Raw genomic sequence first — 17226 nt, forward strand, 5'->3', positions numbered from 1 at the left:
CTCGCCTGGAAGTATAGGAACTTACCAGAGTATCCAATGACAGGAGAAGTCCAGAGGGCTCTACCCTGAATGTTCACCATGGATAAGTCCTGCCCCAAACCTGACAGATACAGATTTCTCATCTATCTTGACAAATGGGAACTTGCAGCCAGTTTAATTTGCCTCAAAGAAAATAAAATAATGTGACATTCCTTCACCCCCAGCAAGAACTAATCCCTTTCTCCAGTGCTCCTACAGCAGGGAGGACATTTCCCTGATATTGATTTTTCATGACTGTCCTTCCTCCCTAGGAGACCCTGATCTCCTTAGGGAAGAGGTGGTGCTTTTTAAACCATTTCTGCAGCCCAGGTGCCTATCAAGGCCCCAGCATCCAGTGGGTCTCAATAAATGAGACCTATCATAATTAACATTCCCCTACCTCAGCACATGACTCATCAAAGTATTACATGTTGTTTGCACTTCTCTACCCCCTCCCCCTTCCCATCACCTCAAAGCTCTCCAAGCACACATGAGCCACTGCTCATAAATGTTGCATGAAAGAAGGGATGGATGGATGGATGGATGGATGGATGGATGGATGGATGGATGGATGAATGGATGGATGGATAGACAGACAGATGGCCTGATGGATGAGGCTGGTGAGCAAGTGAAAGAGTGCTTGTTTTAGAATAAGCTATTTAGGCCACTGCCATTTCCTGTTGGCTGAGCAATGAGCATGCCACAGGGCCAATCAGCTCTAAATGCAAGGCGGTGCATGGCCAGAGGAAAGTTCCTGCTGTCTCTCCTTCACCCTGACAGCCATGGCCCCAAGGGCTAACAGAGGCCCTTGAGACCAATTCTGCCATCAGGAAGGAAAAGCCCTGCCAAAATATTTGCATTCAGAAAGTTAGCATTTATAACACAGTCAGAGAACTATGAAATATCTTCCAGGCCAAGCACTGGGCAATGCCATGTTGGTGGGTTCTGATGAGCCCTGGGAAACTTACTTGCACCTTTTCAGCCCCTAACCCTATTACACAGGCCCCTGCATGGAACAAATGCCTTCATCCTCACATGTTGCTGTTGGGAGTGTACTTTGATACAGCCTCTACTCAAGAACAATTTGGGAATACCTATAGACATTTTACTAACAAATGTGCACGCCATTTGACCCAGGAATTCTACTCCTAGGAATTAATCCTGCACATATACTCACGTATATGTACAAAATCCCCATATACAATGTTTGTAAAAAGCACGGTGTGAAAGCCATCTAACTCTTCATCAGAGGGACTGGGTAAATAAAGGATGTTCTGCAGCCATCAAAAAGAATGAAAGTTCTACATGTTCTGATATGGAACAATCCCCAAAATATATTGCTAAGAAGGAAAAAACAAGGTGCAGATCAGTGTGCATCATTTACTACCATTTGTGATGGTCTTATATAGCACAGACCAGTTCTGGAAGGATCCATAAGAATGGGTCCCAAGGGCTAGGTGCGGTGGCTCATGCCTGTAATCCCAGCACTTTGGGAGGCCGTGGCGGGCAGATCACCTGGGGCTGGGAGATTGAGACCAGCCTGATCAACATGGAGATATCTCATCTCTACTAAAAACACAAAATTAGCCAGGCCTGGTGGCACATGCTTATAGTCCCAGCTACTCAGGAGGCTGAGGCAGGAGAATTGCTTGAACCTGGGAGGCGGAGGTTGCAGTGAGCCAGGATCGAGCCATTGCACCCCAGCCTGGGCAACAAGAGTGAAACTCGGTCACAAAAAAAAAAAAAAGAAGAATGGGTCCCAGGAGTTGCCTCCAAGGAAGGGACCATGGGGACTGGGGACTGAGGACTGGGAGACAAGAGTAGAGAAATGCTTCTCATATTGCACAATTTTGAATTTTTTTGTATCATGTGTATGTATTACTTATGCTTAATCAAATACTCAATTTTAATATTAATTTAAAAAAATAATAATATCCCCATCCACCCAGCCAGGTGCCATAGTATCTGACATTCTGCCAATAGGGAGTCACAAGGTTGAAGTCTTAGATTGAACATTGTTTCAACATCATTTCTCACTGGAAGCTCTTTATAATGCAAGCCTTACTAGAACTGGTTTAAGTGTGATCCAACCTATCAGACCAACTTTCCTCTTTCGGGCATACAAAAAACTTCACTGGGCATTGACTTTGTCCTACACACTTGCCCAGGCACTGGAGAGACAGGGAGAACAGGGCTGACCTCACAGTCAGCCAGGTGGACAGCTGCACGCACAGAGTGGTGGCAGTGCACAGGGAGTGGTGGCTCTGCACATGGACTGTGGGCCCTGCATGGGACTAGTGGCACTGTGTACAGAATGATGGCCCTGTACAAGGAGTGGCAGCCCTGCATAGGGACCTATGGCCCTGCACAGGGAGTCGTGGCCTTGCATGAGGCCGGTGGCGGCCTGCACGGGACTGATGGCACTGCACAGAGAGTGTGGCCCTGCACAAGGAGTGGTGGCCCTGCATAGGGACTTATGGCCCTGCACAGGGAGTTGTGGCCCTGCAAAAGGAGTGGTGGCCCTGCACAGGGACGGGGCAGATATACCCTGACATTTGAGGAGACTGAGGCAAGGATATAAGTGGGAGAGAGTTAGAATTTCGAATTCTCAGACTCCTTGGGTTTCATGCTGGAACACGCTGGCATGAGAGAACCAGGCCTTGGCCTGTGGCCCAGCTCCCTCCTCTTCCCACCTCCTGCCCTGTCCCACCCCATCAGGGGCTTGCACACACACACACACAGACCCTTCAGCCCTCAGAGCCAAGCTCCTTGCACACAGACTCTTTCCACAGTCAGCGCCCTTAGCTCCTGTCAAGCCTCCAGGTACACACAAACCTGCGTCTCTGCTCGCCTGCACAAGGAAGGACCCAGCCAAGTGTCCCAATAGGGCCTGGAAGCGATCTTGATGCCATCCGGGCAGAAAATCCCAGGTGGAGTACAGCCGGATAAAGACAGCCCAGGTTTCAGGTTGGCATGTTCCTCCGGTTCTGCAGATCCCTCGGGCCCTGGAGAAGGAGATGGCCAGAGGAGGATAGCAAGGCCTTCCAAAGTGCAGTCCCGGGTCACAGCCCACCTGCCTGGATCTAAGGACGGTGTCGCTGAGGCTGTGGCAGTGGGAGGTTCCAAGACACGGTGAAGGCCTGAAGGAGGGGGTGGCCCTTGCTAAGACCTGTGGCCAGCTGACAGGGCTCCCCAGCACTCTGTCAGTAAGGCCCTTCCAGGAAGAGGGAGTGGCTGGACAAGAGGCTGTGTGTGGAAGGCAAAGGGGAGAAGGGAGAGAGAGGGCTGGTAACCCAATTCCTCTTCCTGCCTCCCTACACTTCAGCATCACCCTGTTCACGCCCCTTGCAGATCTCCCACAGCACTCCCTGTGTACACCTTTGCTGCTCAAAGGGTCTACACAAGCCAAGCACAGTGGCTCTTGCAAAGGTGGGAAGATGTCTTGAGGCCAGGAGTTTGAGACCACCCTAGGCAACATAGTAAGACTCTGTCTCTATTAAAAATAATAATAATTTTTTTTTTTTTTGGAGACAGAGTCTTGCTGTGTTACCCAGGCTGGAGTGCAGTGGCGTGATCTCGGCTCACTGCAACCTCCCCTTCCCCAGTTCAAGCTATTCCCGTGCCTCAGCCTCCCAAGTAGCTGGGATTACCGGCACCTCCCATCACACCCAGCTAATTTTTGTATTTTTAGTGGAGACAGGGTTTCACCATGTTGCCCAGGCTGGTCTCCAACTCCTGACCCCAAGCAATTCGCCCACCTCGGCCTCCCAAAGTGCTGGGATTAGAGGCGTGAGCCACCACAACCAGCCAATAATAAAAATTTTTTAAAGGGTGATCTAAGATCAGCAGCATGGCCTCGGAAATTGGAAATGCAGACCCTCTGGCCCCACCTCAGAACCACTGAATTAGAATTTGTATTTGGATAAAAGTCTCAGGTGAGTTCTGCAAACTTTGTAATTTGAGAAGCACTGGTCTACACCACACTCCAGCACCTTAACGCAGCTCCATTTAGCAGTGGTGGACATTGCATCATGCAGTGCATGGTTCCTTCTTGAGTGCAGCTTATGGAAGGAGGGGGAGTGACAGGACTGAACTTATTGTTCAAATCCCCTTGTGGTCTTGGGGTTCTTGGTTGCTCACTGCAGAGTTTATAGGTGAAATGAGCAGCTGTCCTCACCTCTCCAGCACCCTTGGAATGGAAGAGGCTGCCCTGAGCTGGGCTGCCATCTCCTGGGTCCTCAGTCTCAAGCCGCTTTCTGATGTCAGTGAGCTCTTTGAAGTCAGGTCCGCATCCTACACAGGGTAGGTACAGGGGGCCGGGAAGGCATAGAATACACATTAGGTTGGATCTAGCATCTGATCCACCTCCCCATGTTTCACGAATGGGCCAGTGGGTGAGTCTTAGGGAGGGCTAGGCCCTGCCTCTTAGAGGAAGGCTTAAAAGGCCCCAACCTACTCTTCTTGGCCTGGTCAGCTGGAGGCAGGCAGATGCCCCAAGTTCAGACAGTCAGATACTCCCACCAGGGATTTGGGTCTATGGTGAGTGACATCTAGAAGCAGGGCCAGCCAGAAGTCCTTCTTGGGGCTGGGCACAGTGACTCGTGCCTGTAATCCCAGCACTTTGAGGGGCTAAGGCAGGAGGATTGCTTGAAGCTAGGAGTTTGAGACCAGCCTGGACAACATAGCAAGACCCTCATCTCCACAAAAGTAAAAATAATAATAATAATAACCAGCCATATTAGAGCATTCCTATAGTTCCAGCAACTCAAGAGGCTGAGGTGGGAGGATCACTGGAGCCCACGAGGTCAAGGCTGCAGTGAGCTACGATTGCCCTCCTACAGCCCAGCAATTGCACACCTAACCCCACATACACATAATCAAATAGAGATTATACATTCACGATTGAAGCCAAAGTGTTATGACACAAAACTTACCCTTAGGACATGTCATAAGATCTGATGTTTTATATTTTTATTCTTTTTTGTTAAAGAAAGAGCTTGTTGATCCAACCCTCTAATAAAGCTGAAAGCCAACATTTGCAAACACTGGCAGGTGGCTGCGTGTCAGGGTGAGGTGTCACTGAACAGGGTGATAAAGCAAGATCTTGTCTCTAAAATAAATAATATAATATAATAAATATAATATAATTAAGTAGAATAATGAAATATCCTGCTGGCCAAGGTGGCATCCCCGCCCCCAGCAGCAAAGTCAGCAGGGCCAGTGGTGGCAAGCTGGTGTCCACACCAGTGGCCACAGTGTCATGTCCAGGCAATCTCTGCCCTATGACCTCAGCTGCCTTTCCAGCTGTCTTTGGTTTCTGCCTGTTTCCCTTCAGCCTCCCTAGATTCTGGGAGGGGCCGGTGTCCTGCTCCAGGTAGGCAGAGTCCAAGTCTGTTGTGGGCAGAACTCTGATGATCATTGCAGGGGTGGGAGGAGGGATGGAGGGAGCATGATGCTGGCAGAACCTCCATGGCATCTGGGGAATTGAAGGCTGTTTTTTGCTCAGTTCTCACCATCCAAAGCAGCATGAACAGTTTTCACCACGCCTCTCTTGTGGATGCCTGTGTTCCTGGTACACACCTCTGCTATGACACTTATCACCTGGTATTAGTTAAGCATCTGCCTCCTTCATTTGCTGTGGGTATTTAGAAAGCAATCCATATTTCCTCTCTGTATGCCTCAATTTCTCCACCTTTATTAGAGGACCCAGGATAAGATTATTTCTGAGGCTGCTTCCATCAGTGGTTCTGTGAGCTGGCCCATGTATTCAGCCAGTCAGTAGGCCATCAAGCATGCATCTACGCAAGGCACTAGAAGGGTTACATACAATGGGAAACTGAGGCCCAGAAGGAGGAAAGATGAAGTGCCCAAAGTTAAGGAGATAAAAGCAGAAGTGCAGGTAAGAGAAGGAGTATTCATATTACTGCAGGAATCCAAATTCTACAAGAACATACGCTTGTTCTTTAAAGGGAGCCCTCGCTTTAAGCATTATTTGCCGATCAATACCCATTAATAATTACAGGACATGGGCAAATATTCTAGCAAAGGTCCTGAGGTCTTCCTAGATGTGCCCAAAATAACAAGGACTCCCCCCGCAGGTGGCACCAAAAGTCGGAGGATGTGTTGGAAGCTGACCTTCCCCACCTGTCCCTGCCTCACCCACAGTCACCCACCCCTCTAGGATGTAATGGTGAATCATTCAACACATGGGCCACCTTGGGAAGTCGCTTAACCTCTCTCCCTTTTCACGTTATAAAATGGGCATAGTCATTACACAAATGCATAAATCAACCTCAATTTTCTCATCTCTAAGTGAGAAGGTTGGACTGGAATTAACAAGAGGATCCTTGAAGTTCTTTCGAGCTCTGACATCCTCATCCATTGCAAAGCGGCTGTGAAACTGGATTATGTAAGGTCCTGTGGCCCCACCAATTGTTTGGCACATCCTGTCTTTTTCCCTAGCTAGATAATGATGTGGCTGAGGGCAGGGACTGTGCCCACACTCACCAGGTGCATGTGAGTCAGCGTCTGGATTGTGTGGCCCCGCTGGGGCTGCCCTGGCTGTATCACATGCCTCTTGTGCCCATCTCATACCCCTCAGCCACCCTCTGACCACAGCATTGCCCGGCGTGCCCCCTGCAGGCTTTTATTCTCCTGCAGCCCCAGGGCCTCCTCAACACTATGATGTGAGTCACCTGAGAAGCCCAGTCCCACAGGCATGCACAGCTCAGGAGTGCAGGACTGTCAAGGACTCTTGCAGCAACCCTCAGCCATGTGGTAGGTATGTGGGGTGCAGGGTGGGGAGGCAGTGGCATACACACTCCCCAGAAGCTTCAGTGGGATGGAGATCAGCTCAACAACACACCTTTGACTTGACTTCCCCTCCTTCTCCACTTCACTCCCCCAGCCCCTCACCCTGCTCCCTGAGCTCTCCTCCCAAATAAACTGCATGCATGCAGGCACACATGACCAGGCTGAGGCTCTGCTCTTAGTGGGATACCAGGCAAAGACACCTGCCCTAGGGATTGGAGCCTAAGCCAGAGGAGGCAGGAGGGTTTAGGGCACCAGCCAAGAAGTGCTTTCCAGATGCTGAGTGGGATCCCGAATAAGGGAAAGGGCATCTAACATAGAATGAGGAGGAGATAACACAAGGGTAGAAATAACCAAGAAAGGGGATTTCTCTCAGATGGCTTTAGAGGTGCTCCCAGCCATTGCTGGGCTCACATGGCTCACATGTCATAATTTTTGCCAAGGCGGTTTCACTGCCACCACCACCCCGCTCAGCCTCCAGTGGCTTGTCCACCCATGGCTGTGGCCTCTAACTGGGCAGGATTTTATAGGCTAGGAAGAAAAGTAGGGAATGTTAAGGGAGACGGAAGTCAAGTTCAACTTGGAACCATCCCAGAATGTCCAGCAGGAAAGGCCCATGGATGTTATAGGCTACAACCCTCTCAGTGCTCAGCGGAGGAACTAGGAGCAGAGAGGGTGAGTAAGTCAAAGGCACCCAGACCTTGTAGGGAATCCTGTGTCCCTGCAGGATGCAGAATGGATGCTTCTGAACCCTGCCACACCCTCAGGGTACATGTCAGAGCACGTGTGTGGCTGGGACAATCCTCCATCTATGTTCCTCACTTACACCGGCTCCAGTTTAGGAAACCCAAAAGGCTACAACCAACCCACCACCACAGTGACCACAATGTACTTGGTGACACCTCACCTTGACACGCAGCCACCTGCCAGTGTTCACAAATGTTGGTTTTCAGCTTTATGCGAGGGTAGGATCCAACAAGCTCATTCTTTAATGAAAAAGAATGAAATTGTAAAATATCAGATCTTATTACATGTCCTAAGGGTAACTTTTATCTCATAACACTTTTGCTTCAATCATGAGTGTATAATTTCTATTTGATTTTGTGTCTATGGGGTTAGGTGTGCAATGTAGAAAAGCTTGAAAACCATTGCCTTATACCCATTTGAAAAATGAACCACCAAACAAAGGCTTAAAAACATGAATATTTGTCAACCAAAAGGAGAACTCCTGGGCCTGGAAGAAACATCACGATTCAAGTGCTGCAGCACGAAAGAAGTTGAGGCTGGATTTGTATTCAGCTTGACTGTTTGTAAAGCACCATGCACCATGCAACTGCCTTCAGTTCCTTTTTTTTTTCTTTCTTTTTTTTTTTTTTTTTTTTTGAGATGGAGTTTCGTTCTTGTCGCCCAGGCTGGAGTGCAATGGCACAATCTCGGCTCACTGCAATCTCCGCCTCCCAGGTTCAAGAGATTCTGCTGCCTTAGCTTCCTGAGTAGCTGGGATTGCAGGTGCCTGCCACCAAGCCTGGCTAATTTTTGTATTTTTAGTAGAGATGGGGTTTTGCCATGTTGGCCAGGCTGGTCTCAAACTCCTGACCTCAGGTACTTGGCCTCCAAAGTGCTGGGATTACAGGCATGAGCCACCATGCCCAGCCTGCCTTCAGTTCTAACCACTAAAGGATTCGTGTTCTCAACTGAGAAACAGCCATATGGAGGGGCTTCCTGCAAGGGCACTGAAGATGTCAGAGATGATGCCTGTGGAGCACCTGGCACAGAGGAGCTGCCCTGCTGACTGCAGCACAGCCAGTTCACAGGGGTGAGCCCCGGCATCAGCTTAGGGAGCATCCCTTCTTGCAGCTCCTCCCCCTAGCACACTCTCCCACCTCTGCTCGCACAGGACCTCTGTCCAGGAGTGCTTACGGCAAGGTTTCTGCCTCAAAAACAGGGCTTTTGGGGCTAACTGGGAGTGTAAGGGTAAAAGGAAAGCTTCCACTAGGCCCCCCCGATTGTTCACTGGAAATGAAGGGACAATAGGAGATTAATAGGAGAAGAAGGCATACAAATGTATTAACATACATAAACACAGGAGCCATGAAAATATGAGGCTCAAAGAAGAGCCAGATGACTGAAGTTTAAATAGCACCCTCTTCATAGGAGAGAGGGAAATGGGGGTAGGTAATTTTCAAGGTTAGTAAATAATTTTGAGGGAAATCAAATGGACCCAGAAGGCAGACATTTTCCTGTAAATGTCCTCTTAGGAAGCTGAATGGGACTGCAATTTAAGGGAAAGTGAGGGGCAAAACTGCATTGTGAACAAAGGTTGTCTTATTACATAGGTAAAGTCTCCCTAGTCATCCCTCAAAGCTGCCCTCAGAAGAATAGATGAAAAGCCTGGGCTTAGTGACAGCTTTTACTCTTTTCTCCTTGCAGGTGGGTGGTTAATCTTTCCTGGTTATTTGATGAGATTTCTAGGGAGGGGGCCTTAAGACAGTTGCATTTCTTTTGGAAAGAAGTGTCCATAGTCAGATATGGAAATTCTAGACAGCCTCTTTTTCCTGCACTTGGGGAGGGGGCAGAGGAGAAACAAGAGAAGATTGGAAAATTCTTGGTTCTGAGGCAGCTTCTAAGGACTTGCATTTTCCTTTAATTCAAAGTGCTCAGCCTGCCAACACTTCCTACTTTGGGGTATCATTCTCTGTGACCCCACAGGGGAATGGGGTCTGTCCTCAGAGAATGGGGGAGGACCTCAAGGCAGCAGGGCAGAACTCCAGGGTGAGAGTCAAAGATGGTTTCCTGGACCTGAGACTCCAGTGGGGTTCATGCTAGAGTCACCCCAGTCTTCAGGCTCACTGCCCAAACACGCACTTGAGGAAGTCTGTGGGGGCAGCTCCTTGTTTTGTTCCTCACTGTCATTTTCCAAAAGGCAGACAAGCCCTGGCCGCCTTATGCCCAGGGCTGAGTCCACACCATGCTACACGAGCACCTGAGGGGAGGCTCCTCTCCAAAGTGCATTACCAGGGCCTGTGCTAAATTTTTCAGCAGCCTCTTGTCTCACTAATGGTCCCGGGAAATAGACTAAGCCTCCATCCCCAACTAAGTGCTCAGGCCTCCCCCACCTCTGTCCTGCCTGGGCAAGAAGCCCAGCGCCGCCCCACAGCCCAGCTCTCCATGCAGCCTCAGCTCCCAGTGGCCCTCTGCCAAGGACTTGCGCCTCTGCAGTGGGATGCAGTGCCTCATTTTATCCATAATTGTACGTGGTCCCTGTGTGATGTCCGGGGACGTGAAAAGTTGTGTCTCATTTCATTTGGGATCCAGTTAAATTCCCAAATGCTGCAACTGAGCAGGAATCTCAGTGCTCAGAGGCCAGCAGTAGGAGGAGTCTGGCTGCTGGGCCCGGACACCTGGCCTCTCCGGCCTCTGACCAGCTCTGGCCATTGGTCACCACCCTGGCTTTGTTGGGTATTAATCCACCACACTCTGCCTGGCTGATCCCTGAGTCAGAGCCAGGCTGGGATTTGTGGGTCTCTGAGCCCACCAGCCTGTGACTCCCAAAAAGAGAGCACCCTTGCTACTTGGAAGGCTTGCCACCATGCCTAGCCAGCACTCTTGCTTTCTAAGCTGAAATCATTATAAGATAGTCCCCTACTACCTTCTACCCAGAAATGTATCCCCTCACAAAGTATATGTTCCCACCCTATCCCAATCCTACCATCGTGATTTCTGAGTACTTTCCAGAAAACTGTCTCCACTGGCTCCCAAGGGCAGAGCACTTCCTCCAGCCTCTGGAATGTCCACCATGTTGATGGTGCATGGATGATAATGACCCCACGGATGAGCTCTCTCCAGTGGGATCACGAAGGGAGAATGGGATCCCTGACTCCCCACAGAACAGCTCGGCCCAGCTGTGAGGTTGAGCAAATACACTCAAAGCTCAGCGTTAACCCAAGTCCAGCGCTCTCAGCTTACACAGGTGGCAGCCCAATCTTAGTGCTCCACTCAATCCATGTCTATGTATACTTAATTCTCTGGAACTAAAATGGGGAATAGGGCCAGGCACCATGACTCAAGCCTGTAATCCCAGCACTTTGGGAGGCCGAGGTAAGTGGATCACCTAAGGTCAGGAGTTCGAGACCAGCCTGGCCAACATGGTGAAACCCCATCTTTACTAAAGATACAAAATTAGCCAGGTGTGGTGGCGGGCGCCTGTAATCCCAGCTACTTGGGAGGCTAAGGGAGGAGAATCACTTGAACCCAGGAGGTGGAAATTGCAGTGAGCCGAGATCGAGCCATTGCGCTCCAGCCTAGGTGACAAGAGTGAAACTCTATCTTAAAAAATAAAAATAAAATAAAATAAATTTTTTTAAAGGCCGGAGGGACTAAGATGGGAGTGGGAAGGAGGGAGGTTCCAGCTCAATCCTCACCAGCAGATATTCCTGCATCCTCCATACCTGAGCCTTCAGACCAATGCTCCCCAGGCCCAAAGGGGACCTCCCTTTCAAGTATAAGGCTCCCCTAATTCCTCACCTTAGGATCTTTAAGGCAGATGACTGCCTTAAAGAACATATATTCCTTGCAGCAAGAAAACCCAACTCCCAACACCCCACAGAGTGTGGTCTGGCCTGGACAAGTCTGCCCTAAGAAAAAAGCGACAAAGACCCTTAGTAATTGAAACAGACTTTAAGTACCATAAAGATGAGCTTTCAATCATTAAAAAAAAAAACGTTTACTGAGCCAGGCACCAGGCCTAGGAACAGAGAGGTGCATCCAGGCTGCCATGTTAGGTGGGCCTGGGCCCCACTGCTGGGGTCAGAAGGTATTAGAAAGGGTCTGGTCTGCTGGGCGCGGTGGCTCTCACCTGTAATCCCAGCACTTAGGGAGGCCGAGGCAGGCAGATCACCTGAGGTCTGCAGCTCGAGACCAGCCTGGCCAACATGGTGAAACCCCGTCTCTACTAAAAATACAAAAATTAGTTGGGCATAGTGATGGGCACCTGTAATCCCAGCCAGCTACTCAGGAGGCTGAGGCAAGAGAATTGCCTGAACCCAGGAGGCGGAGGTTGCAGTGAGCCAAGAAAGCGCCACTGCACTCCAGCCTGGATGACAGAGTAAGAGTCCATCTCAAAAAAAAAATAAAATAAAGAAAGGGTCTGGAAGCTCTAGGTGACCTCATGCTCACATCTATACGCACACCTTGATACATTATTTATGGATCAGGTGGCACAGCATTGCAGGCAGCAGCAGGGCAAAGACAGTGTGGAATCAGAGTCGGGCAGCGTTGGATGGGATTCCGGTTCTGCCACCACTGGCTATGTGATGGAAATCTACCACATCTCTCCAAGCCTTGCTGTCCTGTTTTATCAAATGAGGACATTGTACTGAATCACAAGGTCTGTACAATGCCCGTGCATGTGCCTGGAATCTTCCCCTCTGGTGTCCCCTCAATGCCCATGGTGCTTCCTGCACAGGGTGTACCATAGTTGCTTGCTGTCTCCTGCTGAAGCCTGCTGTGAAGAGGGACTGTGTGGAGGTAAGGCAGTGGGCCTCTCCCTGTGAGGTCCTCAGGGGGCTGAAGGCAAAGTCAGAAGTAAAAAAAGAGAGGGGGGACCCATCCCCAACCAGCTGCCATCCCAGGGCACTCAGCCTAAGGCCACTGCATTTGCATGCTATTTACATAAATCTGCATATACACTGTATTCCCACTCTATCTTGTAGGCAATTATTGCATTTAGGCAGCTCTGCATTCCAGGAAGGGGCACAAGCAGAGATGTGATCCCCTGAACTTCATGACAAGAAGGTACCCGAAGCTCCTCTCCCACCTCCAGCAGCAAATGTCTCCCCTGGGGCTGTCCTGTGTTGTGTTTGAACCCTGCTCTGGGGCTCCTGCCCGCCACCTGTAGTGGCTACCATCAGAAGTTCCTGTTAATTGGGGATGGCAGGGTCACCACATCTCTACTCTTCTCCCACTTCTCAGCAGTTCTAATTTAAACCAGGTTAGAATCTTCCCACTTGGTAGTCTGGTAGGGAAATTATAGTTAACAATAATTTATTAATAAGTTAAAATAGCCAGAAGAGAAGAACTGTAATGTTCCCAACACACACAAAAAAGATAAATGTTTGAAGTGAAGCATTGAAGTGATGCTCCAATTATCCTGACTTGATCATTACATATTGCATGCAAGTACCAAAAGATCACATGTACCCAAAAATATATACAACTATGATATATCAATTAATTTTTTAATTGATTTTTTTTCTTATTTTCCTGTGTAGTGGCAGAATCACAGTTCACTGCAGCCTCAACCTCCTGGGGTTCAAACAATCCTCCCAACTCAACCTCCTGAGTAGCTGGGACTATAGGCCCTCACAACCATGCCCAGCTAATTTTTTGTGTGTTTTTGTAGAGATGGGGGTCTCATTTTGTTACCCAGCTGGCCTGTAACTCCCGGGCTCAAGGGATTCTCTTGCCTCAGCCTTCCAAAATGATGAGATTACAAGTGTGAGCCACCGACTCTGGCTGATATATCAATTTTTTAAAAAAAAGGTTCTTCTCCAGGCTTCAATGCGACTTCACCTATACCAGGTGTGAGCGGCCCTCATGTCCAGGTGGGTGGGGCCAGGCATCTGCAGGGACCTCAGGCTTCTTGGATTGTTTGGGATGGAGGCCCAAGGAGGCGGAAGGTCTGGGGTCTCACCCAAGCTGGCTCTCCCCAAGGAATAAGAGTAATCACATGGGCCTGGAGCAGAAAAGGGAAGAGAAGGGTCCCCAGGAATGATGATTTCTGGGGCTTCAGGAAAGAGTGTGGAACTGAATGGCAGAGCTAAGGGAAGACTAGGACTTACAACCACCAAAATCAGGCCCTCCAGCTGGGTTCGGGGCCAAGGGAGAGTGCAGCCTGGCTTCTGCCATTCTCCTTTCATCCCCCTGGAGCTTCTGAAATCCACAGAATTGTGGTGAAGGACAAGGAGCCAAGGGCTCACAGGCGAGGGGAGGCGGGGAATTCAATGTGTTCAAGGCCTACATTGCACATCTGCCCTTGGTTTACTCTATCTAATGTTCCCATTTGACCGGTAAGAAAACTGAGGCTCAAGATTCAAACCCAGGTCCTTGTAACTTCAAAAACCTTGTTCTTTCTAGGTGTCAAAGTCAATAGATGGGCCACGGGGCTAGCAGTCACTTCTCTTCCTGGACTTGGCAGTCAAGGGATAGGACCTGAACTAAATTGCCTTTCTACAGACTTTTCAGCCCCAACCAGAGGCCTGCTGCAGGCAGTTGTTTGAACTCCTTGATTAAATGTTCAGCCCCTGGCCTGGGCGGCAGACTCCCAACACACAAGACTTACTGAGTCCCCCAAATAGACTTCAAAACACAGTCCTGAGACTCTGCCTGCCAGTTGCCCATTAAGCTCATCCCAGCCTGGCATCTTCCTTTGTTGGTCCACTCTCCCTATGGCTACCAGGGAGAAAGTCTTTTCAGAGATGAATAAGGGCGTCCAGACAACAGAGATGTAGTAGTAGGAGGTGGAACCAAAACAGAACCAGGGGTCTGAATCCTGGCTCTGCCACTTTCTGAGATATGTCACATCAGACAGGTGACTTAACCTCCTGTGTCTCAGTTTCCAAATTCAAAAACGGAAAATGTATTATGACGATCAGATGAGTTAATACAGTCAAAATGCTTCTTAGAACAGCATCTGGGATGTAGCAAGCACTCAAAAACATATTAGCTATTATGATCACACAGAGATGCATACCTCCTAAAATCTTTCTGGGCTCCCACCGCCAGCATGATAAAGCCTCACTTCTCACCAAAGGCAAATCAGGCCTCTCATCATCTGCCTCCTCCCTCCCCAGCCCCATCTCCCGAAGCGCCTCTCAGGGCACCTCTGCCCTTGCACAAGGCAGGGCCTGTTCCTAGCAACTCTCAGAGTAGCAGTGGAAGTTTCCAACACCAAGATCTCAGATACCTCAAGCTGGCAGGAGTGCGAGGTCCAACAAGAAGAGATTTTATGAATCAGCCAGCCATGGGGGTGGGGCATGGCCAGGTTTCCTGATTCCCAGACCAGGGTGCCAACAACACCTACTGTTCATGTGAGAAAAGGAGAAAGAGGAGGAGGGGCCACTGGCGTCTTTTGCCCACCTGGGGTTCCTCGCTGTGGGAGAGGGGGAGGCCAGAGGACAGCAAGTTCCCTGAGAGCCTCTCAGAGAAAAGGAGGGTTTAGATCATCACACAGGATAAGGAAGAAGACCTTTTCCAAGGGGGTGGAGCAGAGCCTGCCTGGAGGTAAATTTCCTTTGGGAACTGTCTTCTTCAGTATTTCCCTTCCTCTCTGAACACCGTTTCTTTTCCTTTCAGATTATCTGACAGCCTTTTAATGAACACCTACTAAGTGCCCAGCACTTTCCTGGGAACTTAATTCTTACAACCTGTTAAGAGGTCTATACACTCATTTTACAGTGGAGGAAATGGAGACTTAGCGGAGATGTGAAATTTGAACCAGGTCCGTGTGGTTTCAAAGCCTGCGCATGTTCCTTTACCCTATGGAAGCCTCCAGAAGCCAAGGTCTCATCTCCCCTCTTCCCTGGAGGCCCCAAACCTGGGTAGCTGTGCCCCTAGACCTTTGAGGGAGGGTCTCGAGCCATTATCTCCCTTACCTTTTCTTGCAGTGACTTGGCTTCTCCCAGGCTGCCGTAACCAGCAAACGCCTAAAGATGGCTCTGAGACGATGGCCTTCTGTGTGTGTGTCCATGAAATCAGGTAGTACACCACACAGAACCAGACTCTCAGTGACATGCCTGATATTCCACAGACCTGCATCCGAGCTGTGCAGATCTCAGGTAGACACAACCAGTGATTGGGGATGGCTGGTAGGATCTTGCCTAGGCAGGCCAGGGAGCTCTGTGAGGAGTGTTTGGGAGAAAATCCCCCAGGTTCATCTCCCTGCATGGACTGCCCCTGCTGGGCCCTCACACTAAGCTGGTCCTGGTCCTCAGTACTGAGGGATCACCACAGGTGTGTAGGCCACAGCTCACAGGAGCCCTCCACCTAGCGGGTCAAAGGTAGTGGAAGATCTGAGAGTCAGGCAGACCTGGTCCAAATCCCGGATCTGCCATTTCCTCACTGCATGATACTAAAAAAGTCACTTCTTCATCTGAAAAATGGGGCTGATCCCACCCATTCTGCAGGGTCTCAGTGGGGATTGAAGGGGGCTGACCTCAATGTAGCACGATGCCTGCCCCAGGTGGGACTTCAGCAAACTCTCTTTCCTTTCCCTTCCCTCCCCTTGAAGGCCAAGACCAAGGAAACAGAATTGGGCATGCCAGAACATATCCCAGCCCTGTGGGGTGTATTTACCTCCACTTCTGATCACAGTGTGTTTGCGTATGACCTTGAGGCCAGTGACTTTTACACCTTGCCTATGCTGGGCTGGGCTGTGACTTGGCTGTGACTTGCCTGCCCTGAAGCCAAGCCTCAGCTGACATGTGTCTTTCCACCACCCCTGCTGTGCTGAGTGAGCACCAGCCACCTGTCCCATTGTTCCTGCCCCAGGCTGTGTGTGGAGAGTGGTCTGACAGGGCAGACAACACCCTACACTCCAGATGTGTTGAGGTGAGCTCTGGGGGTCAGGAAAGAAGCAGGGAGGGGCACAGTGTGAACATCCTGTGCAGATTTCCCCCCAACTGGCCCCCCAGCTGGTTGGGTTTTCTTTTCTCAGTAACTCCTGGCAGAAGTCCAAGGAGGCCTCCTTCTCCCAAACCCTCTGTCCTTGGCTCAAAAATCCAGCAGAGGACGTGCCACGACCACGAAAGGTGACAGCAGTCAAGGGGAAAGAGGACTCCCTTACTGGAGTGCACAGAAGTTTCCTATTTATTTTGCTTACGCGGTTGACTTTTTCCAAAGGCTGCTTGGGACGGCTTACCTCGAAAAGCTTAGCAATAAGGCTAGTAGTAAATCAGACAAAAAAATCATGGACTGGGGGAAAGAAAGTAGCATTTAAATATATTTAATAAGGACGATATAGTCGTGAACATGTGCCTGAGTATCCTGGCTACCACAGTAAAAGGGGAAATATGATCAGTTATGGGAAAAGAGTAAAAATATTAATCATGATTTTTTTTTTCTTGGAGCTTTGTGTAATAGGCACTGATGTTGAAAAGGGTAGAGTTATTTTTCCATATTTGTAGAAATTCAGAAGATTATCAGACTATTTGCCTCACAAGGACTTTTTAGCAAGCAAAAAGTATGATATTGTCATGCACCCTGGTGAGGGGAAGTGTCATCCAGTTCTAGGTTTCTGTGAATCTACCTTGATGCAGGTGTTCAGGGAGTAGTGAGTTTCCTCAGTTGTAATGTAGACCAGCGCTTCTCAAACTTAAACACGTATACAACCTCCTAGGGGGT

General features: G+C 49.5%; 1 long non-coding RNA gene across 1 annotated transcript in view, besides 3 other annotated features; it reads right to left on the reverse strand.

The window, feature by feature from the left end:
* The window catches only part of LOC107985941 (uncharacterized), a 35549-nt gene extending 31249 nt beyond the window's left edge, over positions 1-4300 (reverse strand). The window contains exons 1-2 of the long non-coding RNA XR_001739665.2: positions 4196-4300; positions 2854-3023 (exon numbers count right to left, since the gene is read on the reverse strand). This is a non-coding gene — a long non-coding RNA (uncharacterized LOC107985941). The remainder of the gene's footprint in view (positions 1-2853; positions 3024-4195) is intronic.
* Positions 15149-16348: an enhancer, noted in NCBI's record as "MED14-independent group 3 enhancer chr2:119975074-119976273 (GRCh37/hg19 assembly coordinates)". NCBI's record gives its function as "activates an origin of replication core promoter dependent on BRD2, BRD4, P300/CBP and CDK7 cofactors, and independent of MED14, by STARR-seq in HCT116 cells {active_cell/tissue: HCT116}" and the evidence as "EXISTENCE:reporter gene assay evidence [ECO:0000049][PMID:35650434]".
* Positions 15719-16315: an enhancer, noted in NCBI's record as "H3K27ac-H3K4me1 hESC enhancer chr2:119975644-119976240 (GRCh37/hg19 assembly coordinates)". NCBI's record gives its function as "activates a minimal SCP1, AML or CMV promoter by ChIP-STARR-seq in naive H9 embryonic stem cells {active_cell/tissue: H9 hESC(naive)}" and the evidence as "EXISTENCE:reporter gene assay evidence [ECO:0000049][PMID:30033119]".
* Positions 16524-16818: a silencer, noted in NCBI's record as "tiled region #13360; HepG2 Repressive DNase unmatched - State 4:PromP, and K562 Repressive DNase matched - State 12:CtcfO". NCBI's record gives its function as "represses a minimal TATA promoter and a strong SV40 promoter by Sharpr-MPRA in HepG2 and K562 cells {active_cell/tissue: HepG2 | K562}" and the evidence as "EXISTENCE:reporter gene assay evidence [ECO:0000049][PMID:27701403]".

This window comes from Homo sapiens, chromosome 2 (genome assembly GCF_000001405.40).
Source record: "Homo sapiens chromosome 2, GRCh38.p14 Primary Assembly".
Taxonomy (NCBI): domain Eukaryota; kingdom Metazoa; phylum Chordata; class Mammalia; order Primates; family Hominidae; genus Homo; species Homo sapiens.